The sequence below is a fragment of the Homo sapiens genome, chromosome 10 (assembly GCF_000001405.40).
Source record: "Homo sapiens chromosome 10, GRCh38.p14 Primary Assembly".
NCBI lineage: Eukaryota > Metazoa > Chordata > Mammalia > Primates > Hominidae > Homo > Homo sapiens.
The window spans coordinates 94,709,772-94,723,079 of record NC_000010.11 but is presented as its reverse complement, the minus strand read 5'-3'; the positions used below and the strand labels follow the sequence as shown (position 1 = coordinate 94,723,079).

General features: G+C 37.9%; 1 protein-coding gene across 2 annotated transcripts in view; it reads right to left on the bottom strand.

The window, feature by feature from the left end:
- Window positions 1–13,308, bottom strand: part of CYP2C18 (cytochrome P450 family 2 subfamily C member 18) — a 52,462-nt gene that overhangs the window by 13,111 nt on the left and 26,043 nt on the right. For both annotated transcript variants that reach the window (NM_000772.3, NM_001128925.2), the window contains one exon: window positions 2,543–2,684. In NM_000772.3, the coding sequence (NP_000763.1) occupies window positions 2,543–2,684 (142 nt within the window). The remainder of the gene's footprint in view (window positions 1–2,542; window positions 2,685–13,308) is intronic.

The following is a 13,308-nucleotide window of genomic DNA, read 5'->3' as shown; positions in this document are numbered from 1 at the left end:
GATCCTTCACAGGTGACCTAATTTATCTCTGAATGTTTTTATGACTTTCCCTTTAACTCTGATGTTCTAAAATTCCCCATGGTCTGGTGTCTTGGATGAATATTTTCCATTTCATTCACTTTGCTGGACATTTGGTAAGAATTTTCTATCTAAATGGTGAAAAATGGAGGTCTTTCCACTGGTGCTACTTGTCCTCTGGAGTTTACACCTGGCTGCTGTATTTTAGGAACAAGATAGAAAAAGGCGCTAAAGGCCTTAGAATTCAAGTGGACTCTTACTTAACCCCTCACTCTTTCCCAGTCTCTGTCTGTTGTCCATGAGTGAGCCTCTTAGGTTCAGTTTCTCTAGAGAGTGAACCTCCCTTTTCTGTGGAGAAAAACAATTAGTTGACAAATGGAGTTGTGGAGGGAAACTAGGCAGGGAGAATTTTCTGTTTTCTGCCTCATTCTCCCTCTATGTTCTTTGGGTCTTGGTTCTTTTGAATACTCAGCCTTATGGGGACTATAGCAACAGAAATTCTTATGACCCTTAGGTTGCAACTTCAATCTCTCTGCCAAATTGGTTATCATCCTTCTATCTGCTCTCTGTGTCTGAGAAGTTTGTTAAAGACTTGATGGTTATACTCCAACTTTAACAGGAGTAATTCTCATTTGTAATATGTTTATCATCACTTCAGTGTGATTCTGACCCCAGAAAAACAAGTGTGTGGCTAATATGTTATGCAGAGCCAGAATCTGCTCATAGATAAATATAAAAGTTGAAGAAAAAAAAAAGTTGCTTGTAAAAGATAAAACTATTGACCCTAAGAAAAAATATTGACAAGTACCATTTTTCTAGATGCAGATTTTGATAATCATAAAATTCCTCAGGCACATTTTCTGCTTAAATATCATACACCTTTATTATACACCTAAGTGTTTAAAATACTTCCCAGACTATACAGATTTTCTCAGGCTATCTCATGACATTTCTAGAATATCCACTATACACTTCAATAAATAGTATTTCCCAAAGAATCAAAAATAGAACTACCCTTTGATCCAGCAATCCCACTACTGGGTATCTATCCAAAATAAAAGAAATCATTTTATCGAAAAGACATCTGCATTCATATGTTTACTGCAGCACTATTCACCAAGGCAAATTCATAAAATCAACCCAAGCATCCATCAACAGATGAATGGATTAAAATTGTTATGTGTGGGATTTAAAAATCTGCATCTAGTATTCTATGGTGTGTCACACACACACACACACCATGCACTACTACTCAGCCATGTAAAAGAACGAAATCGTGTCTTTTGTGGCAACATGGATGGAACTAGAAGCCATTATCCTAAGTGCAAATGCTCAAAATAGAAAGTCAAAAACCACATGTTCTCACTTATAAATGGGAGCTAAACAATGGGTACACAGAGACATACAGAGTGGAATAATAGACACTGGAGAGTCCAAAAGGTGGAAAGGTGGGAGGGAGGTGAGGGATGAAATGCTACCTATTGGGAACAATGTACACTATTCAGGTGAAGGGTACACTGAAAGCCCAGACTTCACCACTAGGGAATATATTCATGAACACAATTGCACTTGTACCCCTAAGTCTATAAAAATAGAAATTTACCAAAACATTAAAAAATGGCATCAAACCAACCACAAAAGAATTGCCAATAATAAAAATTAAAAATAAAAAGAGTTTCTGTCTTTACTGTCCCAGCATTAAAACACTACATTTTCAGAATAAGGGAAGATCTATAGAAGCATACCTGGCTGGGCACAGTGGCATATGCCTGTAATCCAAGAACTTTGGGAGGCCAAGGTGGGCAGATCATTTGAGATCAGGAGTTTGAGCCTAGCCTGACCAACATGGTGAAACCCCGTCTCTACTAAAAATACAAAATAATTAGCCAGGTGTGGTGGGTACACCTGTAATCCCAGCTACTCAGGAGGCTGAGGCAGGAGAATCACTTGAACCCGGGAGGCGGAGGTTGCAGTGAGCCAAGATTGCACCACTGCACTCCAGCCTGGGTGACACAGTGAGACTCTGTCTCAAAAAAAAAGAAAGAAAGAAAGAAAGAGCATATCTATTACTCAAAGTGGTCTGTTCTGCTGGAAAATGGAATTTTGTAGACATGGCTTTTAGTGAAATAAAATTTCTACTCATTTCAAAAAAGAAACTGCAACAAAGTGGTCTGTTCTTTAGAAAACCAACATACAATCCTAGGCCAATTCATCATGCCTGTGCCTGCTACAAATCGTCTCCCATGAAATCTAGACACTTTATTAAAAGTATTTAGTCACTAAAATCCAGGGCTTTATTACTTTTGCTACTGATCACACTGTCTTCACCTCTCTCAGTCCCTCTTCCCTATTGTGCAAATTTGTCTCATTCTTATCCCTTCATCATATTTAGACAACTTAGAGCCAATGGCACAGAAATTTCAATAATGAAGCTTCTCTAAGAGAAACAAGATTGAGGACAATAGCAGTGTCTTCCCAACATCTTTTCTGAAAATCACCCTGCTCACCTATGGTATCATCATACCTGTGACCTCTGGGTACTTCAGCAGGAGCAGGAGTCCATATCTCAGAGTGGTGCTCGTTGTCTCTGTTCCAGCCCCAAACATATCAGTTACAGTGGCTATCAAGCTTTCAACAGTAAATTCAGACTGTTGATTGTGCTTTTCCTAAAAAATTATTTCATAATTTAATTATTTGGTAGTTTGCCAGCATATTAAATTACAAAAAATCCAAAATATATCAGGTTGTTCTAAAGATAAGGAAGTTTGGAAACTGTACAGAGTGCAGTATTAAAACTACAACAATTGCACGGTGTGGCAGAGAATGTAAAATAGTTCATTTCCCATTCCTACTTATCCATTGCTTGCCTAAAAATTCTATTTCTGAATATCTTTTGGAGCTGTGTTGGCCATGAAACATATTTCTTGTCTATGACATATAAGCAGGTACCTGTTGATGGCACTTTCTCTCCTTTTTACTCAAAACACATATATGAAGGTAGAGGTGATATAGATATCACCTTGGAACATGAATATTTAAGAATATAACAAGTCCATCTGTGGTGGCTCATGCCTGTAATCCCAACACTTTGGGATGCCAAGGCAGGAGGATCACTTGAGTTCTGGAGTTTGACACCAGCCTGGGCAACAAGTGAGACCCCCTGTCTCTAAAAAAAAAATCAAAAACTTGGCCAGGCATGGTGGCACATGCCTGTAATCCCAGCACTTTGGGAGGCCAAGACAGGCAGTCACCTGAGGTCAGGAGTTCGAGACCAGCCTGGGCAACATGGTGAAATCTCATCTCTACTAAAAACACAAAAATTAGCCGGGCGTGATGGCATGCGCCTGTAATCTCAGCTACTCGGAAGGCTGAGGCATAAGAATCACTTGAACCCAGGAGACGGAGGTTGCAGTGAGCCGAGATCACACCACTGCACTCTATCCTGGGTGACAGAGTGAAACTCCTCTCAAAAAAAAAAATAAAAATCAAAAAATTAACCAGGTGAATTGCACATATCTGTGGTCCCAGCTACATGGGAGGCTGACACAGAGAAACACATGAGCCCAGGAGGTCAAGGCTGCAGTGAAGCATGTTCATGCCACTGCACTCCAGCTTGGATGACAAAGAGAGATCCTGTCTCAAAAAAAAAAATAATCAAGATGAAGGTTCATGTTGTAAGCGTGGGGATCAAAAATGGCAGGCACCTAGTTCTAGGATGCTTCAGAGCTACAGTACTAGTTCTGCACTGCCCAACATGACACCCTGTATGTGAAATAAATAAACACATTATTTGTTTAAGCCATGTTAATTTTTTTTCTTATTTGTATATATACAATCTTAATTGATAGAAATAGAAATAAGTAAATTAGAGACATAAATACATTATAAGCAAGAATCAAGGGTTTGCAATTCTCAGTGTCACAATAGGGACATTGCAGAATAGGAGGCTCCAGTCTCTTCTTCCACCCAAGGATACACCAAATAAATATCTATTCACAGATCAATTCCCTGTGAGAGAAAGTCAGAAACAAGTTGAGAGACTTCTATGTACTGAGCAACAAAGAAAATATCCACATAGACTGGGAAGAAAAAGCTACAGCACCAACCTCACCCAGGCACTACACCATACAATTGAGAATGAATCCCCAACATCCAGCTTCTCCCTGTGGAAAGGAGGATTTAGACCACACATTAACACCCTAACTCTAAGGTTCCCCACAGCTATCTACTTAACTTACCAATTCTGGGAGCAGAGAGGACTAAGTATACAGGAGTCTCTCTCTAGACCACTGGAAAAAGTACCAGTATTATATTAGTGCACAAGCACTTCCAGAGGTTTAATCCTCTGGGATCATGGCAGAGAAAGGGATGAAACTCAAAAGTCCAAGTTTCTGCCTGGATGAGACTTGTTAGCATGTCCTGCAAATTGCTGCTCCTGATAGTGGAGCTAATAACTAGCCTCAACACAAGTCCATATATGACAAGTGCATGGCTAACCTCATATTCAATAGTGGAAAGTTGAAGGATTTTCCCATAAGATCAGGAAAAAGATATGGATGCCCACTCTCAGTACTTCAATTCAACATAGTATGAGAAGTACTAGCCAGAGCAATGAGACAAGAAAAATAAATGAAAGACATCCAAAGAAGAAAAGAAGTAAAATTGTCTCTGTTTGCTGATGGCATGATCTTACATACAGAAAACCTTAAACACATCACCAAAAAACTCTTAGAACTGATAATTAAATTCAGTAAAGTTGCAGGATACAAAATCAACACACAAAAATTAATAGTGTTTCAACACATTAACAACAAATGATATGAAAAAGAAATTTTAAAAATAAACCCATTTACAATAGCATCAAAGAAATAAAGTATTTAGGAGTACATTTAACCAAAAAAGTGAAAGTCACCAAAAAATATAAAATATTAATTAAAAAAATGAAGAAGACACAAATAAAAAAGAGATACCATATGCATGGATTGGAAGAGTTGATATTGTTAAAATGTCCATACTATCTAAAGAAATTTATGGTTTCATTGAAATCCCTATCAAAATTCCAATGTTATCTCTCTTAGAAATAGGAAAAGTCATCCCCAAAAAATTCATATAGAACCACAAAAATACCCAAATAGCCAAGGCAATAATTAGCAGAAAGAAGAAAGCTGGAGGCATCACATTACCTGATTTCAAGCTATACTACAAATTAATAGTAATTAAAACAGCATGGTACTGGCATAAAAATGGACACATCAACCAACAGAATATAACAGAGAGCTGGAAAAGAACCCATGCAACTACAATTGATTTTAGACAAAGGTACCAAGAATATGCAATGGAAAGGGGACAGTCTCTTAAATAAATGGTGAGAAAACTGGATATCCAAATGCTAAAGAATAAAATTGAACACTGATCTCACACCATATACTCAAGCAACTCAACATGGATTAAAGACTTAAACATAACACCAGATACTGTAAACTACTAGAAGACAAGATTGAGGAAAAACTACAGGACATTGATCTGGGCAATACAAGCCAGAAGAGAGTGGGGGCCGATATTCAACATTCTTAAAGAAAAGAATTTTCAACCCAGAATTTCATATCCAGCCAAACTAAACTTCATAAGTGAAGGAGAAATAAAATCCTTTACAGACAAGCAAACCCTGAGAGATTTTGTCACCACCATGCCTGCCCTACAAGAGCACCAGAAGGAAGCACTAAACATGGAAAGCAAAAACCGCTACCAGCCACTGCAAAAACATGCTAAATTGTAAAGACCATTGATGCTAGGAAGAAACTGCATAAACTAATGAGCAAAATAACCAGCTAACATCATAATGACAGGATGAAATTCACACATAACAATATTAACCTTAAATATAAATGGACTAAATGCACTGATTAAAAGACACAGACTAGCAAACTGGATAAAGAGTCAAGACTCCTCAGTGTGCTGTATTCAGGAGACCTGTCTCACATACAGAGACACACACAGACTCAAAATAAAGGGAAGGAGGAAGATCTACCAAGCAAATGGAAAACAAAAAAAGGCAGGGGTTGCAATCCTAGTCTCTGATAAAACAGACTTTAAACCAACAAAGATCGAAAGACACAAACAAGGCCATTACATAATGGTAAAGGGATCAATTCAACAAGAAGAGCTAACTATCCTAAATATATATGCACCCAATACAGGAGCACCCAGATTCATAAAGCAAGTCCTTAGAGACCTACGAAGATAATTAGACTCCTACACAACAATAATGGGAGACTTTAACACCCCACTGTCAACATTAGACAGATCAAGGAGACAGAAAGTTAACAAGGATATCCAGGAATTGAACTCAGCTCTGCACCAAGCAGATCTAATAGACATCTACAGAACTCTCCACCCCAAATCAACAGAATTTACATTCTTCTCAGCACCATATCGCACGTATTCCAAAACTGACCACATAGTTGGAATTAAAGCACTCCTCAGCAAATGTAAAAAAACAGAAATTATAACAAACTGTCTCTCAGACCACAGTACAATCAAACTAGAACTACAATTAAGAAACTCACCCAAAACCACTCAATTACATGCAAACTGAACAACCTGCTCCTGAATGACTACTGGGTACATAATGAAATGAAGGCAGAAATAAAGATGTTCTTGAAACCAATGAGAACAAAGACACAACATACCAGAATCTCTGGGACACATTTAAAGCAGTGTGTAGAGGGAAATGTATAGCACTAAATGCCCACAAGAGAAAGGAGGAAAGATCTAAAATTGACACCCTAACATCACAATTAAAAGAACTAGAGAAGCAAGAGCAAACCCATTCAAAAGCTAGCAGAAGGCAAGAAATAACTAAGATCAGAGCAGAACTGAAGGAGATAGAGACACAAAAACCCTTCAAAAAATCAATGAATCCAGGAGCTGGTTTTTTGAAAAGATCAACAAAATTGATAGACCACTAGCAAGACTAATAAAGAAGAAAAGAGAGAAAAATCAAATAGATGCAATAAAAAATGTTAAAGGGGATATCACCACTGATCCCACAGAAATGCAAACTACCATCAGAGCATACTATAAACACCTCTACGCAAATAAATTAGAAAATCTAGAAGAAATGGATAAATTTCTCGACACATACACTCTCCCAAGACTAAACCAGGAAGAAGCTGAATCCCTGAATAGACCAATCACAGGCTCTGAAATTCAGGCAATAATTAAGAGCCTACCAACAAAAAAAAAGTCCAGGACCAGATGGATTCACAGCCAAATTCTACCAGAGGTACAAGGAGGAGGTGGTACCATTCCTTCTGAAACTATTCCAATCAATAGAAAAAGAGGGAATCCTCCCTAATGCATTTGATGAGGCCAGCATCATCGTAATACCAAAGCCTGACAGAGACACAACAGAAAAAGAGAATTTTAGACCAAAATTCCTGATGCACATCGATACAAAAATCCTCAATAAAATACTGACAAACTGATTCCAGCAGCACATTAAAAAGCTTATCTACCATGATCAAGTTGGCTTCATCCCTGGGATGCAAGGCTGGTTCAATATATGCAAATCAATAAATGTAATCCAGCATATAAACAGAACCAAAGACAAAAACCACATGATTATCTCAATACTACATGCAGAAAAGGCCTTTGACAAAATTCAAAAACCTTCATGCTAAAAACTCTCAATAAATTCGGTATTGATGGGACACATCTCAAAATAATAAGAGCTATTTATGACAAACCCAAAGCCAATATCATACTGAATGGGCACAAACTGGAAGCATTCCCTTTGAAAACTGGCACAAGACAGGGATGCCCTCTCTCACCACTTCTATTCAACATACTGTTGGAAGTTCTGGCCAGAGTAATCAGGCAGGAGAAAGAAATAAAGGGTATTCAATTAGGAAAAGAGGAAGTCAAATTGTTCCTGTTTGTAGATGACATGATTGTATATTTAGAAAACCCCATTGCCTCAGCCCAAAATCTCCAAAAAGCTGATAAGAAACTTCAGCAAAGTCTCAGGATACAAAATAAGTGTGCAAAAATCACAAGTATTCTTATACACCAATAACAGACAAACAGAGTGCCAAATCATGAGTGAACTCCCATTCACAATTGCTTCAAAGAGAATAAAATACCCAGGAATCCAACTTCCAAGGGATATGAAGGACCTCTTCAAGAAGAACTACAAACCACTGCTCAATGAAATAAAAGAGGACACAAACAAATGGAAGAACATTCCATGCTTACGGATAGGAAGAAACAATTTTGTGAAAATGGCCATACTTCCCAAGGTAATTTATAGATTCAATGCCATCCCCATCAAGCTACCAATGACTTTCTTCACAGAATTGGAAAAAACTACTTTAAAGTTCATATGGAACCAAAAAAGAGCCCACATTGCCAAGTCAATCCTGAGTCAAAAGAACAAAGCTGGAGGCATCATGCTACCTGACTTCAAACTATACTACAAGGCTACAGTAACCAAAACAGCATGGTACTGGTACTGACACAGAGATATAGACCAATGGAACAGAACAGAGCCATCAGAAATAATACCGCACATCTACAACCATCTGATCTTTGACAAACCTGACAAAAACAAGAAATGAGGAAAGGATTCCCTATTTAATAAATGGTACTGGGAAAACTGGCTAGCCATATGTAGAAAGCTGAAACTGGATCCCTTCCTTACATCTTATACAAAAATTAATTCAACATGGATTAAAGACATAAATGTCAGATCTAAAACCATAAAAACCCTAGAAGAAAACCTAGGCAATACCATTCAGGACATAGGCATGGGCAAGGACTTCATGTCTAAAACACCAAAAGCAATGGCAACAAAAGACAAAATTGACAAATGGGATCTAATTAAACTAAAGAGCTTCTGCACAGCAAAAGAAACTACCATCAGAGTGAATAGGCAACCTAAAGAATGAGAGAAAATTTTTGCAATCTACTCATCTGACAAAGGGCTAATATCCAGAATCTACAAAGAACTCAAACAAATTTACAAGAAAAAAAACAACCCCATCACAAAGTGGGTGAAGTATATGAACAGACACTTCTCAAAAGAAGACATTTATGCAGCCAACAGACACATGAAAAAATGTTCATCATCACTGGTCATCAGAGAAATGCAAATCAAAACCACAATGAGATACCATCTCACACCAGTTAGAATGGCGATCATTAAAAAGTCAGGAAACAGGTGCTGGAGAGGATGTGGAGAAATAGGAACACTTTTACACACTGTTGGTGGGACTTTAAACTAGTTCAACCACTGTGGAAGACAGTGTGGCAATTCCTCAAGGATCTAGAACTAGAAATATCATTGGACCCAGCCATCCCATTACTGGGTATATACCCAAAGGATTATAAATCATGCTGCCATAAAGACACATGCACACGTATGTTTATTGTGGCATTATTCACAATAACAAAGACTTGGAACCAACCCAAATGTCCATCAGTGATAGACTGGATTAAGAAAATGTGGCACATATACACCATGGAATATATGCAGCCATAAAAAAGGATGAGTTCGTATCCCTTGTAGGGACATGGATGAAGCTGGAAGCCATCATTCTCAGCAAACTATCACAAAGACAAAAAACCAAACACCGCATGTTCTCACTCATAGGTGGGATTTGAACAATGAGAACACATGGACACAGGAAGGGGAACATCACACACGGGGGACTATTGTGGGGTGGGGGGAGCGGGGAGGGATAGCATTAAGAGATATACCTAATGTAAATGATGAGTTAATGGGTGCAGCACACCTACATGGCACATGTATACATATGTAACAAACCTGCACATTGTGCACATGTACCCTAGAACTTAAAGTATAATTAAAAAAAGAAAAAAATATGAGAAAAAATAACATTGGAAGAAAAACATATTAAATTTCTATACTTCTTTTAAAATTAAAATTAAAATTAAAAACTATATACACACAGACATGCATGCACATATATGTGGAACTTAAACAACTCTATAGAAAGAAAACAAATAATCCAATTAAGAAATGGGCAAATAGCCTGAATGAATATTTCTAAAAAGAAGACATACAAATGATTAAGAGATACATAAAAAGATGCTTAACAACACTAATCATTAAAAAGTTACAAATTAAAAACACAATGAGCTATCACCTCACATCTGTTAGAATGGCTATTATCAAAGAGAGAAAAAACAAGTGTTGGTGAAGATGTGGAAAAAGGGGAACACTTGTGTACTGTTGATGGGAATGTAAGTTAGTGCAACCATTATGGAAAACAGTAAAAGGTTCCTCAAAAAACTAAAAATAGAATTACAACATGATCCAGTGATTCGGCTTATGGGCATTTACTCAAAAGATTTGAAATCAGTATGTCAAAGCAATGTCTGCACTCCCATGTAAATTGCAGCACTATTCCCAATAGCTAATATATAGAATCAGCCTAAGTGCCCATCAACAGATAAATGGATAAAGAAAATGTGGTATATATACACAATAGAATACTATTCAGCCTTAAAAATGAAGAAATTCTGTTATTTGTGATAACAGGGATGGAACTGGAGAACATTATGCTAAGTAAAGTCAGGTCAGGAACAGGAAAACAAATACTATATATTCTCACTTATATGTGGAATCTAAAACAACCGAACTCATAGAAGAGAGTAGAATGCTGATTGCCAGAGGGCTTGGGGGCGGGGGGAAAGGGGGAGATGATAGTCAAAGGGTATAAAGCCTGTTAGAATGGAGGAGTAAATCTGATCTCTTTTTTAAAAAATAATAAATTGCACAGCCAGTTGAATATAGCTAATAATAGAGTACAATCCACCTTCCTATCCATGGATTCCACATCCATTGATTCAACCAACCTTAAATAAAAAAAAAAAAAAATTGGAAAAAGAGGCCAGGTGAGGTGGCTCATGCCTGTAATCCCAGCACTTTGGGAGGCCAAGATGGGAGGATCGCTTGAGCCCAGAAGTTCAAGACTAGCCTAGGCAACCTGGAAAGACCCTATCTCTACAAAAAAAAAAAAAAAAAAAATTAGTTGGGCATGGTGGCATGCACCTGTTGTCCCATATACTTAGGAGGCTGAGGTGGAAGAATTGCTTGAGCCCAGGAGTTCAAGGCTGCAGTGAGCTATGGTCATACCACTTCACAACAGCCTGGGCAATGGGGCAAGATTCTGCCTCTAAAACAAAAAAGAATAAAATTCAGAAAAAAAAAAGTGTTCATATTGGACATGTACAGACTTCTTTTTCTTGTCATTATTCCCTAAAAAATACAGTATAACAACCACTTACATGGCATTTACATTGTATAAGGAATTATAGGTAATTTAGACTGGGCACAGTGGCTCATGCCTTAAATCCCAGCACTGTCGGAAGCTGAGGCAGGAGGAATACTTGAGTTCAGGAGGTCCACTCCAGCCTGGGCAAACACAGTGAGACCCTATCTCTATAAAAACAAATTTTTAATTATCTGGGCATGGTGATGTGCACCTGCAGTCCCAACTACTGGGGAGGCTGAGGTGGGAGGATCACTTGAGTCCAGAAGGTCGAGCTAAAGTGAGCCACAATCATGCCAATGCATTCCAGCCTGGGTGACAGAGTAAGACTCTGTCTGAGAAAAAAAAAAGAATTTAGTCACACTCAATATTGCCTGCAGACTCATTATGAACTCGGAAATGTGCAAAAGATAACATGGTAACATATCCAAGATTATGGAGAAAGAGAACAGATTGACAAGACAAGATGGGGCCAGCCATTATTATATTCCAGATGTGAGGTAATAGTCAACTTGATCTAGTAAACAAGCACAGGAATGAATAAGAATATAGAAATTGAAGAGACACTACAGACATGAAGACAGAGAGTTTGGACATTAACCACCTATACAGGATGAAGGAGAGAGTAAGGGCAATGGAGATGCTTAGGACAAGGGACTGAATGAACTGAGTTCTTATATTCAGTTGGTGAAAAAGTAATTGCAGTTTATGCCATTAATAATAAAATGGAGAGTGGAAGAACAAAGCACTTCACAAGGCAACTAAGGCTGGTTTAAGATGAGGGAAATATGTAACACAAAATTGACCATAACAATGGGACAGTCTAAATTATTGACTATAGGGAGTAATTAACATACAAAAAAAGATTTCTTCCTATTCAATCCTCTAGAACAGCATTAATTTAATAAGGCTGTTATAATCTCCATGTGACCTGTGGCATGCCTAATATTATGTAATCAACCACAGTAAGACAAACCTAGTCCTCTCAACAGATGTACTTGCTAGACAAAGGTCATCATGCCCATTGGTAACATCAACTTAACACAGTTTTCTAAGCTTATCAACTCAAAATTACACCAAAGCCAGGAAGGAGAGTAGAGCACTTATAAACCAATACTAATATTTCCTTCTGTTTAAGTGAATTTGAAAAATCAGTGGTTATGTACAAATAGCCTATCAAAATTAAGCTAGCTGACACAAAACATTGTTGAAAGAAATTAAAGAAGATCTAAATAAATGGAAAGACATCCCATGTTCATCTATTGGAAGACTTAATATCGTTAAAATGGCATTACTTCCCAAATTGATCTACAGATTCAAAGTGATCCATATCAAAATATCTGTTACCTTTTTAATAGAAATGGACAAGATTACCATAAAATTCATGGGGAACTCTACACAACCAAAATAGCTAAGAACCAAAACAATCTTGGGAAAGAACAAAACTGGAGAACTGACACTTTCCAATTTCAAAACTTACATAAAAGCTACCATCACCCAGGTGCGTGGTTCACTCCTGTGATCCCAGCAATCTGGGAGGCCAGGGTGGGTGGACTGCTTGAGGCCAGCAGTTGGAGGCCAGCCTGTGCAAAATAGCGAAAGGCTGTCTCTGCTAAAAATACAATAAATTATCTGGCCATAGTGGCACATGCCTGTAATCCCAGCTATTCAGGAGGCTGAGGTGGGAGAATCACCTGAGCCCGGGAGGTAGAGGCCAAGATCACACCATTGCACTATAGCCTAGGCAACCAGAGCGAGACCCTGTCTCAAAAAAAAAAAGTACTGTCATACTGGCATAAAGAAAGCTATATAGATCAATGAAATAGAATTTAGAGTCTAAAAATAAATCCTCGTGTTTGTAGTCAACTGAATTTCAACAAATGTACCACGATCACTCAATGGGGAATGAATAGTCTTTTCAACAAATGGTACTAGGACAACTGAATGCACATGCAAAGAATGAAGTTGTACCCATACCTCACACTATAATCAA